The sequence below is a fragment of the Homo sapiens genome, chromosome 4 (assembly GCF_000001405.40).
Source record: "Homo sapiens chromosome 4, GRCh38.p14 Primary Assembly".
NCBI lineage: Eukaryota > Metazoa > Chordata > Mammalia > Primates > Hominidae > Homo > Homo sapiens.
The window spans coordinates 120142070-120163072 of NC_000004.12; the positions used below are offsets into that span (position 1 = coordinate 120142070).

The 21003-nt window shown below is 35.1% G+C and overlaps 1 long non-coding RNA gene across 1 annotated transcript in view; it reads left to right on the forward strand.

Moving 5' to 3' along the window:
* MAD2L1-DT (MAD2L1 divergent transcript) overlaps positions 1 to 21003 on the forward strand; it is a 100247-nt gene that overhangs the window by 75112 nt on the left and 4132 nt on the right. The window contains exon 3 of the long non-coding RNA NR_187429.1: positions 8474 to 8552. This is a non-coding gene — a long non-coding RNA (MAD2L1 divergent transcript). The remainder of the gene's footprint in view (positions 1 to 8473; positions 8553 to 21003) is intronic.

Below are 21003 nucleotides of genomic sequence, written 5' to 3' on the forward strand. Positions count from 1 at the left end.
AAATTGGTAATTATCTGTATTATATACTTGGTATCATAACTAATTATAGATAGAATTACTTAAAATTACTTGGCATAAAGTACTCAGTATTTGGCTGTTTTCATGACCGCTGTTAACTGACTTGCTACCCTTGGGCAAGACACTTAATTTTTCTGAGTTGTCATTTGCCATGTGTAAAATGCTGACAAATCCCTACTTTGTAAGTTTGCTGGTTGGAGTCTACAAGCTTCTAGCTCATAGTTTATGATTAATATTACATTTTTCTTATTTATGCGCTTTTTGACCTTTATTGCCTTTTCTATTTCACATTATTACTATTATTTTAAAAAACTAAAGTCATTGTCTTTCAGCAGTAATGTTTCTAAATTTGAAGGGTTTGCCCAAAATGAGTGATATATTCATCAATCGTCCCGACTCAATTAGTGACTGAAATACTTCCTTCCGTACCAGCACTATCATTCTGAGGGATGTGGGGCTAACAAGAACCACCTCTTTTTGGGTGATTGGCAGGGAACCTGTAATCCAGGGGTCAATTCCCATGGGGCCTTGCACAATTGACACTACAGGCTGGCTCCTTTTGCTGAATAATCCACAGATGGGCTTCAGAGGCTGCTCCCTTCTGTAGATGAGGAGCTGTGCATGTCAACAGTAGCCTAGGGCTTTGTTCTACAGGGCCTTTGGCTAGCCATCTCAGGGGCTCTCCTGGCACATTACAAGAGATCTCTCCTCTCCTTGCAGATCTCATCCTGCCTTTCCTGGACCCCTGCCCTCCAAGGCCAGGCCTCACCTGTTCTGTCCACCTCACGAGATTCAAGTGTCAGGGTATCTGCCTTTATCTCCATTTTCTCACCTGCCTTTATTATGGCATACAACTCATGCTCTGTTCACCGCAGGGACTTTCCCTGTAAAAGCTTAGTTTGTAAAACTTCTTCTTTGACATCTTGAAAGACCCGAAGCTCCTGTAGGAAATGGAAATACCACTGCGTATTCAGCAAACAGCCATGAGGTGCAAGAAAGAAAGGAAAACCCAACACTGAAGGTGAATATTCCAGGGACTTCTCTCATCACTTGCATGGGGCCACAGTGTTGCTTTATTGTCCTCTAAATGTGTGGTGCCTGAGTCACCGCACCTACTTCACCATCATACCTGATCTTTAGGAATCTCATCAGTTCTGCATTTTAGAAAGCTCTGTAAGCATACTTGGGCCCAAGCTTTATCTGTGCTTCCAAGAACATAATAAAATTGCCTATAATATCTTGGTTCAAGAAATTGAGAAAGCTTCCAACCCCACTGGAAACAAGAAAAATATATTTTTTAAAAAGAAAGAAATTAAGAAAGCTGTTCACATCATTTGGCCCGTAACTCCTATTTCTAACTATATGTTGAATGTCTACTATGTGCTAGGCTCTGTAAAAATGATAGTTGATGTTAGTGGCTCCTGTGAGCTCTGAGTACATTGTCTTATTTAATCCCTGTAATAATCCCAGTGAGTGGGCATGATTACTACCACCATTCTACAGGTGAGGAAACTGGAACTTGCATGGGTTAAACAGAAGGAGGGGGCAGGATTTGGCCTGGAAGGCAGGCCTGCCTGTTAGAAGGCAAATATTCTGTGTTTGACCACTCTGCTCTACCATCTTATTTAACTAGAAGCTGCCTTCTTGGAAATTTTAACTATTTATTAGAAGCCTCTGATGAGAAAGAATGCAAGAAAGGCCCTGACAGCTGTATGCATTCACATAAAATGGTTCATGTTTTATATAAAAAGAACAGCCTCTTATCCCATCACTCCTATAGGCTTAATTTTCTGATTATCCAAACACAGGCAAGGTTACAAAATGTCAAGTTAGAGGATTGGGGACAAAGATGTTGCTAGAAGTAAGCACTCAAGGAGGGTGGCAACAGGAACAAGTGGTAGTGACAGTGAGGGTGAAAGACAGAGATTCCACCAACAAAACAAAGCACAACATCAGAGCACATCCACGACAGTGGGGACCTCATCCGACCTGTGCGCCACTGAACACCCAGCACTCAGGAGAACACGTCTTTGTTGACAAGATGAACAAATGAATGCGTGTTAGAAAACACTGCAGAATGCTGAGGCCTTCTGGCATGAAGAAAATCATTTCTCAAAGAATATTCCTTGCAACAGTAGGCCCCAATATGTTTTTAGGAAAAAAATGAAGAATTGTGTGGTCTAGTTAGTTATGTATACATTTCATGTTGTATTCCAATCTGTCATTTTTGCCATGCAACTAGCTCTGAAACTATCCCTCAATTGAGAAATCTGTTCAGTTTGTTTTTGTCCCATGTTGTCCTTTTGATCAGAAAATCTTTTTCATATAACACCTGAAAATGTGCTTGGAAGCTGTATTTTGAGAAAGACAAAAGCACACTTCTGAATGCTGGTGCAGGGCCAGCAGTTGTACATCTTTGATGTGCTTGAGGGTTCTACTATTTTAGAGCTAGTTCAGAAAAAATGAACGGACTGTGTAATTTATGTTAGAAGCCAAGAGTATGACAGAAATTTAAAAAAGATATCCAATAAGACAAAGAAAAAATTGTGTTTTGGTACTTAAAATGTTAACATTTTATAAATCTGGAAAAATGCCTCTGACAGCCTTCCCCTCTTGGTCCTGGCCCCAGCAGGCTGGCCTGTATGGATGACATTGGCCGGCTTCCTTGATTTCTAGCTGCTAGTAAGGGGCCTGGTAGGAGATCCCCAGGGGGGCAACTATGAAGTCAGGGTCTAAATGCCCTGCCTCCTTCCCTGCCCATTCGCTTTGGGTTGGTTGCCTCTCCCCACATGACTTGCTCTTTCTGGGTTCCAGTAACACCCACTCCCTTTGTCCTTTTTGATGGACACAGCCTCAATACTGGTAGCCTGAGAAATTGCGCTCTTCTCTATGGCCAGCTCATACTTTTAAAAATAGTTCTTTCAATTAAATCCTCTTTGAATTATCCTAATTGAGTGTACCAGTCATTTCCTATGTATTGTTTATCTTCTTTGTGAGTGAGCAGTTGGTTATTTGGAATATGTCTGTATAACACTAATGTGATTTGCAGTTACCCTGATAATTTATTTAACTGGATAAATACTATTTTGTTTTAAATTTCCTAAAGGAAAACTTTTTTTTTTTTTTTCTCTAGAGAGTTCAGGGTCAACTCTGACAGTAGAACATAATGGTTAGATTAGGTGCAGAGACTCTGGGATGAAAATGGTTGGGTTTTAATTTTAATTCTGTCTCCACTAATTGTGTGACCCCAGGCAAGTCATTTAACCTCTCAAGTACTCAGTTTATCAGTAAAGGACGGATAATAATAGTAGGTGACCTAAAGATTGTAATGAACATTTTAAAAGTCAATATTTAAAAAGCACTTAAAACAGTGCCGGGCACATATTAAATGGTAAGTATTTGCATAATAGACATGATTTTATTGAGTGCCTATTGTGTTCTGAGAAGTATGTTAAATACTTTTTAATGTTTTATTCCATTCACTTCTCAGAACAATCTTGTTAAGTAGGTATATTCATTTAATAGAATAAATTGAAAGTCAGAGTAATTAAATAATTTGCCCCAAACCACATGGTAACTAAACAGTAAGGTTGAGCTTTGAAGGCAGATTGGAATTATATCTTTATTAAATTAAATTACACACACAAAGACAGAATGTATACGTACGAATATATACCCAGACATATCTTTACATACTATATATGATACTTAATATATAATATTTAAATTTACAGAATTACTGTGCCTGGCATATCATAGACGCCCAGTAAATGTTGCTTCATCTCACTCCTAAATCCCACTTTAACACACTGATTCTGTCTTATATGTAAAGGAGTAAAATGAACTTTCTAGATGTTCTGTGAGTATAAACTGGAGAGAAAAAGGATGTAACTTACCTGTACCACCTAACCTGTCCCTTCTTCCCACTGCCCCAACATAATAAAAGCATTAAATTAACAACATATTTGAAGATATACAAAATTTGGATTGTTTGAAACATACTAAGGCATTAACTTAGAAAGCCATGGAGGGCTGTGATTGCTGCAGTGGATGAGTCCCAGATAACGAGATCAAAGGTGATCAGGGGTCTAGCCAGATGTCTCACTAAAGGGCTCTGCCTGTTTTCAAAGTAACTGATGGATGATGAGAGAGGTTCCATTGGAATGCTTTTGAATGCTGTACATGAATGTCATAAATGTTAGAAGTTTTGTCAATGAATCAAATGGCTTTTGGGCAACAACACTTTGTTAAAGCACTGTTCACTTAAAACATTATCTGATTTTATACAAACGTAACTAGGAATTCAATCAGAAGGGACCTTTTCTCGAAACCATCATAAAACTTATCCATACCACTATTATGCCAGTGTTCCATACGGAATTTGAAAATATCATTTGAGTTAAGAATTTTAAAAATTCCAAAGTATTATTACTTTGTTAATTGTAAATGTCATAGGCAGAAGTTAGATTTAAATAAAGGTCCTTCTAGCTTCAAAATTCATGTGTTTTCTTCTGTACATATATTGCCTCCAACTTCAGATATGCATATACATTTTATTTCTTTAATGCTATCAAAGTGACTAGCTCATTAATCTGTAAGTTTTGCGCTGGAACATCTAGGGTAGTATTTACTAGCCAAACGTTACCCATTCCAATATTTATTAGTTACTCTTATCCTTTCCCTTAGAAGTTATTTATTTATTTATCTAAAGATTTGCCTTCTTTAGTCTAGAGAATCTAACATGATCCCCAGCTTTTTTTTTTTTTAATTAGAAGGGCTTTTCTTCTTAATAAACAGGAAGAAAACAAGAAAAACAACTTTTGTTTTTCACCTTCTTCATTGTCTCACTGAAAAATGTCTTTGGAATCTACATTTTATTTTTCTTTTTGGTTTCTGGAGTAAATGTGTTCATTGTAATTTCAGGAGTGGTGATATTATTATAGCAGTTAAACTTTCTGATTCTGTGACTTCTGGCTTTGTTCTACTTGGTCTTATTCTTAAACAAAATTCAGCAAGTATAATTTTTTTTTGTTCCATACAGTTATTACTGTTTTAAAATCATTAGTGGAATCATTATGTTACATGGCTTTATATGGCTCTTACTACACTTTTTTTTTTTTTCTGGGACTAGGAGCTCATTCAACTACATCTTCCAAAGAGACCAATTATTGATTCAACTTTGGTACCCAAATGATATTGAAAAGCAGATGAGAAAACCTTCTTCTGTTTGCTTTCAAATTCTCCCTAGGAACAGAATCTCTGACCCACAGGCTGTGGTATTCCTGGTCACCTTGAAGTCTATCTTTAAGAACTGACAGAATTATATAATAGTTTCCAAAGCGATGTGGATTTACACACCAGCAAGTCATTTGCCTAAACTCAAGATAAGTGGGAACACCAGTATCAAAGGGGAAGGCAGGAGCCCTTGTCCTGTGAACCATGACCCAAATGCTAGTTAAGGATAACTTACACATTTGAATGTTGGGTGGTTTCTTTCTGTAGAGGGCCTGGGTCTTCGGCTCAGTTCCAAGTAGGCAGTTTTATCCCATTGACAGATAAAAGCATTTGGTAATTTATCAGTGGTAACCTTGGCATTTTATGGTATGGAAAGTGCCAAGTTTTCTTAGACTTATTATATGCTATTGTTGTTTTAGAATGTTATGTATTCTTTTTCTTTTAGATAATTTCTCTCCTTCTCAGAGACTCTGTCTTACCTTGAGATATTTAGTTGATTTTTGGAAAGTCAGAAAGTATCTCTGAGGAATGATTTTACTAGAAAGGTCAACCATTTGATCACACCTCTAAAGAGTGTGGCAGAAAAAGGATGTTTCTTCCAAGTAGAAGGACACTCCATAAATGAACCTATGCACATCAGAGGGAACATGTCATATCATTCCTTTTCAAATGATAAACAGAGAATTGTTAGAAAACTTACATGTCAAATGTGCAAACAATTGGGCAAAAACTAGAGTCTCAGAGAGTAAAAGAAATTACCTGGATCAAAAAAGAATTCAGACTGGGGCATGTAAGAATTTTAATGACAATGACACAATAATCATTGCTGACAGTAGCTTCAATCATTAGATGCTATTTTTCTTCATCCAAACAACATGGTATAGTGTTTAAGTGGGTAGACTTTAAACCCAGGTCATCTGGGCTTGAATCCTAGCTGAGCCGTCTTAGAGCCATGTGTCCTTGGGTCATTTACTTATTCTCCCTAGTACTCGGTTTTCCCATATTTAAATAAGGGGTAGTAATACAACTTACCTCACAAAAATGTTATGAAGTTAAATGAGTTATTTAACAGTACTTAGGACTAAGTTTTGCACAAAGTAAGTGCTTTTTAAATGCTTGTTAGGTTAATACCATAATATCAATGCATTTATAATGTTTGCTGGGCTACTGTGTTCCAAGATACTGTACTGCAGCATTGTCCCTGCCTACAAGGGATGTTTAGTCAGGAAAACTTGATGGCATTCCAATATGGGAAGATGGATCCTAAATATATGCTCTTGGAGACAGTGATTTGTAAAATTTTAAAGTTTAATTTTATTTTAACTAGAAAATTTGAAATGCTTACTTTTTATTGTTAATTCCCTAAGAGCATATACTTCCCTTTACATATATATATATGTGTGTGTGTGTGTGTGTGTGTGTATAAATACTTCACAGGACATAACAAAGAATTAGACGCAAAGGTAGGAGCCATCAGTACTTGTTTTTAAAAATGAATTAACATTTATTCAGGTAGATATCAAGTTACTTCATTTTATCTTGTAATTGGACTAAATGTAGCCCTTGGTTATATAGACATGGCCTTTGAGTTTCAAATATCATCATTTGTTGAACTGTTCATGTAAAATTGTCACTATAGTTTATTTTATAGGGATTTATTAAAAACTAAAATCAAAATGCTATATTTATACTAGCTATAAATATAATAAAATGTAAATGTATTAATGTCATATTTAAATAATCCATATTTATAAAATCATATTTTAAGAATTATAATTCTGTCGGGTGCAGTGGCTCACGCCTGTAATCCCAGCACTTTGGGAGGTCGAGGTAGGTGGATCACCTGAGGTCAGGAGTTCAAGACCAGCCTGGCCAACATGGTGAAACCCCATCTCTACTAAAAATACAAAAATTACCTGGGTGTGGCGGTATGTGCCTGTAATCCCAGCTACTCGGGGAGCTAAGTCACTTGAACTCAGGAGGTGGAGGTTGCAGTGAGCTGACATTTTGCCACTGCACTCCAGCCTGAGTGACAGACTGAGACTCTGTCTCAAAAAAAAAAAATTATAATTCTATCAGGCTTCAGCATAAGAAATTGAGTATTCACCTAACAGCAGTAAAATTAAAAGGGAAAATTTCCAAGATTATTTCAAAAGACAGACAAAATAAATTTAAAATGGAAGCAATTTACTCTTAAGGCTCACATTTAAATATCCTGCATTTGTAAAATATTTGAATTGGAATTCTATCAAGCTATATCTGAATAATGGTCTAATCACTTAATAGTAATGAAACTAAAAGAAAAACACAAAATTTCTTTAGAAAAGAAACAATAAAATGTTGCTGTGGTTCAGAATCTTCCAAAATAGGCTCATTGGAGGGCTGGATTCTTCTACAGAGTGGGGGGATGGGGGAATACCCAGTGCTTGGGTATAAAGACATTTCTCTTTGCTAAAGGAAAATATGTTAGGCCAGGAGTATCTCTCAATGATGAGTCTTCTTTGGGATGCCCGTATTATCTTGTGTAGAATGGAGAGGTAGAAAAGAAAGTTCTCTTCCTATGAACTGCCCCCTGGAGCTCTTCTTTCTCATGTGACTTCTGACCGGGGTAAGAGGCAGAGGAAGAAAGACTGGCCCTGAATTAGGTGTACATAAGTTGTTGAGATCATCCTTTGGGTCATTTCTACTGGATTCAATTTTTGAAGATGCCCAATCCTAAGGGTTAATAAAAGACAGTAAATTTTGGTTTCTGCTGGTCTAGGGAGAGTATGCCAAGCTAGACACAGTAGGATAAATTGCATAAGGCTTCTGTGGAGAAATTGTTGGAAAATATAGCAACTCGATGGAGGAACCATTTTCCTATGATTCTAGCTCCATTGAGGTAACGTTTTCAATATATTCAGACACTCAGTCCTTCAACTATCACAGCTTAATGCTACTGCTTTCTTGGTGGACTGATAATCCAGAATATAACTTGGTGGTCCTCTCCCACTTTTGACCTATGCCCTGTTTTAAGCAAGGAATTACATTTAAGCTCTACCCCATTGAATTTTTTTCTGTCATATGTATTTTCTTTTCTTATTTTATTGAGTTTTCTCTTGGCCAGTAGAGCTTTTGATCAATTACTGTGAGCACTTTTCCCCCATGGGAAACCATTTGCCTTTAATAAGAGTAACTTCTTTTTAATTTTTCTGTTAAAATGTTTGCTTGTTTTCTATAGGTGTGCATCATTTCACAATTATTGGCAATGGTTCAATGGTTTCATCTGCTTTGAACGGTTTCTTCTCTATCATTAAGAGGTAAATTCTCAATTTATTGAATATGGCCATATATGTTATTTACTTCATTTTTTCAGTGAAGGTCAATAATGTCTTTAAGTTTTTTGGTGAAGATTTCAGATATCACTTTCAAACTGTGCATTTTTTATTTTCAATGAAGTTTTTAAAATTTAAAAATTTTAAAATCTTAGTTTGGAGAATTTAAATTTGATCTGTAAATTTATTATATATAATAGAAACATGCTTGAGAAGGTGAATATTATAAAATAATAATTTTAATAATTGCTGATTTTTCAAAGAAAATCTCTGGAGTATATAGAGCTTTTCTAAACCAGTCTTATATTTTTCCCCTGAAGACCTGTTATGAATATGTAGCTGGAGACACTTTCCCAAATGTAAACAAGGTTTGAATACTTTTCCTAAAGTCTGCTGTTGTAAACATTGTCTATGTTTAATAACATTAAAATATTATGATATAAACATTGTACATGTTTAATAATATTAAAATATGATATAAACATTGTCTATGTCTAATAATATTAAAATGTTATTAACATCACCGTGAACATTCAATATGCAACTTTATCTTTCCATCTTTGGCACCTGAGGAAACAAGTAGGTTTCCTTTCTTGGTGTGTGTAATGTGACATATACCTGCCATTGGACTACTGTCACAAAGTTACCAACTTAAGCCAATAGTTTTCCCTTCCTCTTTTGCAAAGTAGTTGATTATTAGGGAATTGATCTCAAATGACTTAAGTTTAAAGCTTTGTGGAATAGCTCTGTGTGTATGTGTGTGGTTGTGTGTGGTGTGTATTTGGGGAAAAGCTTATTAATATCTGTTATTGATCTCACTGTCAATTGATGTGCTTACTCAACTGAATTGTGGCAATCTTATTATCTATTGCTACATGTGCTGTGAGAATGCAAAGAGTTGCTTATCAAAGCCTGGCTTGTCATAAGATTAACTTTTTGTTTCTATTCAAATATAAAGATGGCAACAATGAAACACTCTTGTAAAATTATCTTTTTTTCTACTGTATTTCATTATGGGGAAAGAAAAATTTTAAAGGCATTTTTCAAAAGACTATAATATATTTCACCTAAATAAATCCCTCTCTTTAAAAACATGTATATATAGCATATGTATTTGTGTATAAGCAGAGGTTTTGTTTATGTCTGTGTATACAATATACTTACCTCTTTTCATTACAGGATAGAATGCAAATCTAGGAAATCCTCTCACAGGGGATTATCTTTTAACATATTTGAGTCAATTTTAGGAAAGCAAACCACAAAACTTGATTAAATTACCAACTTTATTTGATTTTGTTTATTTTTAATGAATTCTTTTGTGATTTTTGTCTGGATAACATTCAGGATACATACTGTACCTTTTGGAACATAACCATCAACAAATTGCAAACTTCTGCAACTTCGACATTTCTGAATTATCCTTTTGCTGAACTTTTTACAAAATCACCAAAAAAATCAAGAAAATATCATTTAGCAGGACCTTGTATAACTTTTATACTTATATTTGTTATAAGATCTGGGAACATTGATTTCCAGTATAAACCCAAGTATTTTTATTAAAAACTTGTGTTTCTGTTGTTAGTTTGAGAGCATCAAATATCCTATCTGTTTACTCACTGCTATTTTCTCAGTCCCTGGAATAAAACATATGAGTAAAAGAAGAATGAATTCTAGATTTTCCTAAAGTCATAGTAATAGATAGGCTTTTTAGTTGTCACAGATCTCATCATCATAAGTTATCAATTGGTGAATAGTATTTTATATTCAACATGTACCTTCATGTACAAGATGGCCCTTATAAAGAACATATAAGATATGAAAAAAGATACCCAGAATATGTCTATGTTACTGATGAAAAAGTTAATGTATGTCATAATCAGACCAGAATTCAGATCTTCTCAGCTGTGTTTCACTGTACTTTTCATTGTACTGCCTCGATTAGAGATCTGCTGTAGCTTATAATCATATGGACTACTAATCTTTATAATATCTTCAGAGAGAGATGTTGTTGTCTGTTTATGATCTATTCCAATGTATAATCATCTTCATTGATCAACAATTTAACTTATAATTTAACCAAGTTACTTGACCAAAATTTAAGTTCATTTCTTCATAAAAGAACTCATGCATTACAACAGAAAGTAAGTTATGCTTTGCACAGAATACTCTTTATATACTTACAGCATTTAAAAATAATTTCTTTTCCTTTTTTCAAATGTCTTTAATTTTTAAAAAATAAAACATACATTCTTTCTTGTAGTAATTTTTATTACATTAGAACTTGTGTTTCTCCTTTCTCCTCTGCCCTCAATATTTGTATCTCCACTTGATTTTACACACTTCTTTCAAATTCTGTTTCCCACTATTTCATATTCAGAATCTTAATTGACTTTCTACAGCGTGGACAAATACATCCTTAGCCTGGCATCCAAAACCTTAAGTGATACAATCCAACCTACAATTGCAACCTTATTTTTTTCAACTCATTTGTGTGACTTATACATAATTGAGCTTCAGCCTGAACTAGAATGGACTTAGGAAGTTGTGATTTTTAACATTTGAGATGTTGATATTGAATAAGTATGCCCAAAGGTCCATGGAGTCCAGTTATTATTGAGGCACTCTTTGTATTGTAAGAATTGCAAGCTGATGTGAATGTGAAAACAGCACTCAAATTGTAGTGTACCCACTATACACAAGTCTTGTGTAAGGGGTTTCAAATATTTTGGTCTCAGGAATCCTTTACACTTTTAAAAATTATTGAGCCCTCCAAGGAGCTTTTAGTTAAGCAGGTTATATCTATAGATATTTACTCTATTAGGCTGGTGCAGTGGCTCATGCCTGTAATCTCAGCACTTTGGGAGGCTGAGACAGAAGGATTGCTTGAGTCCAGGAGTTCGAGACCAGCCTGGACAACATGGCGAAACCCCATCTCTACTAAATATACAAAAATTAGCTGGGCATGGTGGAGTGTGCCTGTAGTCCCAGCTACTTGGCCTGAGGCAGGAGAATCCCTGGAACCTGGGAGATGGAGGCTACGGTGAGCAGAGATAGCGCCACTGCACTCCAGCTTAAGTGACAGAGCAAGACCCTATCTCACAAAAAAAAAAAAGCTCTTAATAAGAGAAAGTCAATTTAAAAATAAATAATAAATAAATTTTGAGGCCTCCAAGAAGCTTTTGTTTAAGTAGGTTGTATCTATAGGTATTTACTCTTTTAGAAATTAAAACCAAGAACTATTAATTTATTTAGAGTATTTTATATATTTAAAATAATAATTAATTTAAATCAACAGTAATAAACTCATTATATGTTAACATGAGTGCATAATTTCATCAAAATTAAACATTTTCTTAGTCTGGGCACAATGGCTCACACCTGTAATCACAGCATTTTTGAGAGGCTGAGGCAGGGCAGATCACTTGAGGTCAGGAGTTAGAGACCAATCTGGCCAACATGGTGAAACCCGTCTCTACTAAAAATACAAAAATTTAGTCAGGTGTGGTGACGGGTGCCTGTAATCCCAGCTACTCAAGAGGCTGAGGCAGGAGAATCACTTGAACCTGGGAGGTGGAGGTTGCAGCGAGCCAAGATCATACCACTGCACTCCAGCCTGGGTGACAGATTGAGACCCTGTCTCAAAAAAATCATAAATAAATAAATACATTTTCTTAAAATACTTGTGAGGAAAGTGGCACTTTTTTTTTTCAACTCTCTTCAGTATTTTGCTTAACAGAATATAGCTGGATCCTCGTACCTATTTCTGTATCCAGTTCATCACATAGCCTTTGGAAAAACTCCACTATGTATTTGTGAAAGAAGGAAAATGTAAAAAGAAAATAACTTCTGAATATTATGATGAATATGGTTTTGAGTTTGCAGACCCCCTGAAAATATCTCAGGCACCCCCTGGAAAAAATGTAAATTAGATAAAATGTAAACGTGATAAGACATATTGGTGGTAGGTGTTTTAAGGCAGTTTAGTCTCTACTCTGACAGTATGTGCCCTCTTGGGCTTATCCATATAGGCAAATGCTTTATATTTTCCTTTGAAATCATCTGTTTTTTGGTTCATTGTTTCAGCTTTAGTTTGTTATGAAAATAGACACATGGTTGATAGGTTCCGTGCATTAGAGAATCAGGCCCTTGGAACACACCTTAAGAACAACTCACATAGAGGTTAAGAGCTTAGGCTTTGATGCCCACTGCCTGTTTGTGTAGATCAGCTTCTCCACGCCTAGTTCTGTAATATTGGGCAGGTTATTACACTTCTTATGCTACGGTGTTTCCTTCTCCAAAATGGAATTAACAATAATATATCTCGAGCTGTGTTTTGAGGGTTAAATAAATTAATACATGATTTGCAATTATAACAGTTCTTAGCACTAGCAATAGTCAATTTTATGGCAGGGTCAATACATTTTTTTCTATCTGGGGCTCCTCTCTCTATCCCTAGAATTCAGTGTCTTATCCAAATTAATATTTATTTGTCTTAAAGATAGAAAAGTAGGGAATATCTTTTATGTTGATCAAGTCAACATTTAGACAGTGTTAATCCTTTGATATTTAGTTATCAAATAATTCAGATATAGCTAAGTTATCCACAGGGATTTCAATATGTACCTGAAAGAAGTAAGAGCAAGCAGCTCTAAACATTTTTATTAACCTACAAAGTGTTATTCATTCCATTCATTTGCATCGATTTTCCTTTTTTTTCAGCAATCTGTCATGCTTAATTTAGTCCTTCCTTTCTCACTAGGTTAAGAAAATATAAATGAGTCTAGAATTCATTCATTCATTCATTCGTTCATTCATCATGTACCTGTTGTGAAATGCCAAGCCTTCTGCTAAGCTCTGTTGTGCAATCTTAAAATCTTGTGGCAAAAGACACATATTAAACCAATGAGCAACAAAACAAGCGTATAAATTAAAAATGTGAGAAGATTTTGAAATGGTCTTTCTTTTGCTTTTTTATGCTTTCAATATGATCTTTATGACATATCAAATGTTTAAGCTTTTATTAAAATTGAATATTTTACCTTCACTTTGTTATATGTTAAATAATTGATAAGAAATGATTGGGCAGAAAGGGAAACCATGAAAAGAGCATTAGTTGATCTAGCTTCTGGTTTCAACTTTGACACTAACTAACAATATGATTTGAATAAGACATGAACACTTTAGTCTCATTTTTCTCAATTGCAAAAGTAGGCAGTCGTCTGAAATCTCTCCCAGAGCTATTATATTTGTTATTTTAGGAATAAGTATATCTTTACAGCAATTTTCACATGTTGTTTGAATGAGGTAGATTGTAGCATTTTAATTTCACAATTGTAATTACTTTTTTCAACCTATCAACCTATGGGATTACAAGCATCTTGAAGTTGGCTTCTGAATCGTCTTCATTTTTGTGTACCCAGAATGCTCAGTGCAAATTTTGTTGAATGTTGAATGTAGTTTTAAACTGTATTTGTGATGGCAAATAGTCCTAAAAGACTTTTCATTAAGTTTCCTGGGATGACCAACGGAAACAAGTCTGAACCTATGTTTCTGAGTACATTGAAAAGAATAGCAAGTGTTTCATAAAGGTTAAGTTTTAAGGAACAAGGGCTATGCTTGGTTGGACTTTTCACATGTGAAACTGCGTTCACAAGTCTTTAATTTTATCTGTGTCCAGCAGATGGCACTAGTGCCTCAAATAAAACTCCAGTTTGAAGAAAATGTAAGGTAACGCATACCTTAAAACTAAGCAGATGTCATGAAAATCCAAGAGAATATCACACAAATATTCAGATCTGTATAGTTAAATGAAACATGAAATTGTTGAATAAGTATTTATCTTTTAAAAAATTCTCTGAATTTTATGTTTGTAATTCATCGCAATTATTCTAGAAAAGTAAAAGACTACATAGGGGGAGAAAACAAACACAAACGGGAAATATTCCAGAAGAAAAAGTTCCTCCAAGGTCAGGACATGCTCCAAGATGCTTTTTGGCTATATCTTCTCTGCAAAATTTATGAAAAATAATCACAAAAAGCAATAAAAAGTATTCAATTTCTCCTTTTTCTAAGCTGTCTCTTGTCTTTGTTATATTTTAGTACCCTACCAATTGTATACAATTATGAAAGAGACATGCGTGAGATACTGTTGAAAATTATAGAAGAAAAGCAAGAATAAAGCAATACTTCTAAAACTTAACTTGAGAAAATTATTGTTGTTCAGAAAGACTTTTTGGCATTGAAAGCCTTGATTCATAATAACATCCTCCTTCTTGAATATTGTTATTTTCCTTTTCCCAATCAAGTAATCAACAGTTTTCCTTTTCTTTTAAAATATGAAATGAACAAATGTTTACTCATAATATCTTAAAATGTCATTTTTTTATTAGTAAAAATCTTTACTTCATTTCTTATTATATGCAATTAGGCTATATTAGTTTTTAACTATTTGTAACTTTTAAATTTGATATGTTCACCCTTTCTTTTAATCTATTTTTTCAAACCTAATAAATATTATTAGCTGATTGAAATTAACAACTCATTTAAAAGAAACAGAATTTTATAATATCCTGTTTCTTCCTCAGAGTAGTTTGATAGTATTAACGTAATAACTATTCTCACTTTATTCAATAAGATCAAAGTAAAGATTTGGGGGAAGCATAGAAACAACATTTATTTGCCTTAACTGGATCTTTAATACAGCACCTCTACTTAAGAAATTTAAGAAATACTCTGAGAAGCTATTTATATAGAGAGATTTTATCATTCAATCATGCTTTTGGTGAAATAATTATTAAAGATTATTAAGGATTAATAAGGATTAATATGTAAAAACATAAGGCTTTAATTTGTTGATTTTTTAATTCTGTAATTTAATTATGATGTTCAAAGAAAGGAATAGAACCATCTAGTCTCAAAAGTGGGAGGAGCCTATCATGACTTCCCTATCTCCTTTTCTTCTCACCCTCTCTAACTCAGTGACTTATCCAGTTTTACTTCATGTCTGTTGTCAGTATCTTGAGCAAATAAAAAATAGAGGGAATAAAAATCAAGAATGTGTGCCTTAGGAGAGGACAAGGTACCATACAATCTCATATTGAAAATTAAATAAAAATATATCAAGTTATAAAATCAAAAAAAAGAGAAAAAAAACAAAACAAAACAACAACAAAAAGTATGCTGTGAGTTTATGTGGTCACCAATGTAGAACATGCAGTTACAGACTCTAGATTTCTTTAATTATTTCATAGTCATCTGAAGAATAATTGGTTTGTTGGACTTTCACATACGAAAGACATGTGGTAAGACATTGGCAATAGGTGTTTTAAGGCAGTTTAGTCTCTATTCTGATAGTATATGCTCTCATTGGCTTATCCATATAGGCAAATGCTTTATATTTTCCTCTGAAATCATCTGCTTTTTGGCTAATTGTTTCAGCTTTAGTTTGTTATGAAAATAGACACATGGTTGGTAGGTCCAGTGCATTAGAGAATCAGGATGAAATAATAGAAAAATAGAACTTTCCCACCCTCTGCCTTACACTCTTCTATGCATGTTCAGGGGGAAAGTGTGGTGAGAATTCAGTGTGTCTGCTCCACGCTAGCAGTTACCTAGAGGTGGAGCAGTTATGAAAGAAGTGGAGATGGCCAGGAGGAGCTGGAAATAGCATCGGGAAATGTGGGTAGAGGCTATACAAATTTTGTGGGCTAAATAGAATTCTGGTGGTTGGAATGCTTATCCAAACTATTTTGAAAGTTAATTTACATTTTTTTCCAGGGATAAGTTTTTATTATTTTTTAAAATGAGAGAGGGATGGGAGATAGAGAGAGAGAGAGAAAGAGAGAGAGAGAGAGAGAACTAGCAAACATCTACCCCTCATTCCATCTGCTCCTTAGATATCTCAAAACTTATTTTTCTTCTTTCCACTATCACAGATCTATTCAGAATTAATAGTATGACTTTTATGATTTTACCAACAATGTAAACTAAAGTTGTCTTTACATTTCTATTTTTAAAAAGCAAGTAAATTATTTCAATACAGAGAATCTAAAATAAATAAAAACAACAACAAAACAAGAAAACCCTTACCATCTGGGTTCTACTACATTTGCACTGAAATCTTGGGTAGTAAATATATATCTGGACCATTTAAAAGTAACTTTACTTTGAGGCGCATCACGTCAAATAGAGGCTGTTTTGTAGTCTACCTTGTATTTTACTGCTGTGAACTCTGTGAGCAAACAGAATTTGTTCACAGGGTGAAACACATATTTATGGTCCTGAATAAACTGCACAGATTCAAAAACTATTTGTGTGACAGTGCTAGACACAGGAATTCTGAGGCCAAATGGGATGTTTGTAGTCCACATTTGCATATCAATACCCAGACTCCCCTTTAGGAATACTGCTGCTTCATGACAATGCTGTTGTCTGAGGTCTGGGGGAAAGAAAACCCATAAAAGTTTGGACTCACTTTTCAATGCCCTCGATTCAATTCTTTTTTTGTGCTTTGGAAAACTGTGAAACAGGGTCACCAAGTTCAATTCTCCATAGTTTTATTATGTTTTAAATGAAGCGATTGAACCTGCACAGAACCCAGACGGACAGACACCACATGGCCACTTTGTGGCAAGGCAGCTTCTTAGGAATGGTGAAGCTTGTCTTAGTATGTTTCATGGGGTTGGGATCTGCACTATGGTTCCTTAGTTTAAAGAACCAAAGTAAACAAAACTCTTAAGCAAAATACTTAGAACCCTTTTTCCTGGAGAAAAAGTATACAATAAATGATTCTTTTAGCTATTGAGAAGCTAACCTAAGCATGTAATCATTATTTGAAAACCAGCCTGTGGATATCAAAGGGATTTTATAAGGTGATGTCATTTTCTACCTGGCCAAGCTGCCTTGATGGCTTTCAGTTCTTGTCCTTGAAATAGAGTTCTTGTCACACAGAGCCTTTCATAATTTTGCTGAAGAGTTATTTGGAAAAAATGATTTCATTCTTATTTTTTGTCTAGCAATGCTTTGGTCTTCCTGAGGAGAATTTTAAAAGTTAACGTTTTCCTTTATTTTTTAGAATGTAGTTGATTTTGTTAATTGCAACCCTCTGAAGACACAAGATAAAAAGAAGGCCATGTTTTGATATTACTGCCCTTTTCTACTACTGCACATTTGCAAACATCTTTGTGAGAGTGCTGTAACTGCAAATGTCAGCATTAGCAGTATTTCTTCTTCACAGTTTTACTTGTGATATAGTGACATATTTTTCCATGCAACTACAAGGTATTGTGTTCTTAAATGCCCATTTTAACCCTGCTTTGTTTTAACTCACATACTGATTTGCTTTTAGATTTTGTCATTAATTTTCTTTTTCTATGCAATACAGACATATGTCTGCTTGAATATCTTTTTATGGCTACCTCAAGAATGACTTACAGGGTATAAAATTGTCTTTAATATAGGTGACGCTGGGTTAGTCATATTTTAATTGTTTTGATCAGAGCTCTGAATAGTTTCCTGATTCTCCTCCAATTACCTGTCTTCCTAATTCTCAGCTTCTAAGGAAGAAGACAAGTAAGAGTCCATCTGACAAAAGAAGCTATTCTGATCTCTAGATCCCATCTTTATTTGGTACTATTGACAAAGAACTGTTATTGCCCCTGCAGAGAACATTGGTGGCTTCACTGTCCTTGATTTTTTACATAAAATTTGCTATTACTGTCCCTTCTCTGTTTTCTTATTTTCTTTTCTGGTATCTCTCTTCTCTTCTAACCACTCTCAAATAGTACATACAATTGTGTTCTTCTCTTTCTAAATTCCCCGTTTTCATGTTTTTCAGTGCCTTTAGGTCTTCATCCAATACCTCGATGTAGGTAATTCCAAAAATGATAATTTTACCTCAATTCTACTCCAAGAGTTAAGTTGTTCATTTGGTGTTTCTATTGGTTATTATACTTATTACAAATCTTGGTAAGTCTGAAACTAGGTACTATAAAAGATTTTCATGTGGTAGTTTTTAAATGTGTTCAAAAATTATTTGACACAATCCTCTTGAAAAAGTAGAGCTGGGCCGGGTGCGGTGGTTCACGCCTGTAATCCCAACACTTTGGGAAGCCAAGGCGAATGGATCACCTGAGGTCAGGAGTTCAAGACAAGTTTGGCCAACATGACGAAACCCCGTCTCTACTAAAAATACAAAAATTAGCTGGGCGTGGTGGCACGGGCCTGTAATCCAAGCTACTCGGGAGGCTGAGGCAGGAGAATTGCTTGAACCTGGGAGGCAGAGGTTGCAGTAAGCTGAGATCGTACCACTGCACTCCAGCCTGGGAGACAGAGAAAGACTCTGTCTCCAAAAAAAAAAAAAAAAAGAAAAAAAGAAAAGAAAAAATAGAGCCTAACATTCCTCTTCTTGAAGGTGTACCAACTTTAATAATCCTTTCTTGTGAATAGAATGTGACAGAACTGGCCATGTGTGACTTCTGAGGCTACATGGTAAAAAAAAAAAAAAAAAAAAAAAACTTTGCCTCTTCTGCCTTGCTTCCTCTTAGGTCACTCACTCTGGTAGAAACGAGCCACCATATCATGAGAATAGTCAAGCAGCCCTACAGAGATGTCCATGTGGACAGCAACTAAGGCCTTTCCATCATGGCTCCACCAACTTGCAGGCCAGCTGTGTGAGCAAGCTTGCAAGTGATCTTGTAGTTTTAGTCATTCCTTTAGATGACAATCCTGGTTGACATCTGACAGTAACCACATGAGAGATTCTAAGCCAGAGCCACCAAGATAAATTGTTCTTGAATTCCAAGTTTACAGAAAGTCTATGAGATAATATTGTTACTTTATGCCACAAAGTTTTGGGGTAGTAGCTTACGCAGCAATAGATAGCTATTCTAGCACTCCTCCAACAGCCACTTCATTTCTTATACAGTCATACATTGCTTAACAACAGTGATATATTCTGAGAAATGTATTGTGCAATTTTGTTGTGCGAACATTGTAGAGTGTCCTTGCACAAACCTAGATGCTATAGCCTACTACACACCTAGGCTATATGGTATAGACTATTGCTTCTGGGCTACAAACCTATATGACATGTTACTGTACTAAATACTGTGGACAGTTGTAACACAATGGTTAAGTATCTGTGTATCTAAATATATCCAGATATAGAAAAGGTAGAGTATAATATGGTATAAAAGATTAAAAATGGTATACCTGTATAGGACACTTACCACAGATGAGTTTGCAGGACTGGAAGTTGCTGTGGGTGAGTCAGGGAATGGTGAGTGAATGAGAAGGCCTAGGAGGTTCCTGTACACTACTGTAGACTTTATAAACACTGTACACAGGCTTCACTAAATTTATACAATTTTTTTCTTCAATAATAAATAAACTGCTTACTATAAGTTTTCTACTTTATAAACTTTAAAAAAACTTTTAGACTCCTGTAATAACACTTAGATAAAAACACAAACAGATTGTACAGCTGTACAATAGTATTTACTTTCTTTATATCCTTATTGTATAAGCTCTTTTCTGTATTTAAAATTTTTTTTTTACTTCTTAAACTTTTTGTTAAAAATGAAGACATCTACACACACATTAGCCTAGGCATTCCCAGGGTCAGGATCATCAAGACATCACAGGCAATTGGAATTTTTCAACTCATCATAAACTTATGGGTCCTCCATCATATAGGTGGTCTATCATTGACCAAAACATCTTTCTGCATCACATGACCGTATATGAAGAATTTTTAAGTTTCATGCCTTCTTACTTTGAAGTGATTTTGGTATCTGCTTCTTTGAAATGTAATTGCCATGTTACCCCAAATTTAACAGAAAGTATTGCCTCCCACATAGCTGTATTGCTTAGCCTTTTGACCAGTCTCCCTGATTCTTTTCTTTTAGTCTCCATAGTACACCTGTAGAAGCTTATTTTTCTCTGAAATACGTGGGCGCCATATAGTTCTAGTGCTCCAAAAACTTTAGAGTTGTTTTCATTTACCTTCAAGATAAAACCTTGTGTTTCTTAGCGTGGTATATTGGATTCCCATTCAAAAATATTACTCCCTCTCCTCCTCCTCCATGGGAGGACACTTCCTGTCCATCTGATACTGGGCTTGGTCCTGAGACTTGCTTTGACCTCATGATAAACAGGGTATAATTCTACACCCCTTGATTTGGACTCATCTATGTAACTTATTTTGGCAGTAGAATTTTTAGCAGACTTGACATAAACAGGGCCATGAAATGCATATAGTTTGTTGGGCTTGCTTGACTGTACTCTGCCATTCCTGTGAGAAGCACATCACTTAGCTAGACTGCTGGTTTGAGAAGGATGAGAGAAATATGGAATATACATAAGCCCAACACTGTGTGAGGAGTCAAGCCCAGGTGGACCTACAATTTGAAGCAGAGCTACTGATCTGCGCTCAGCA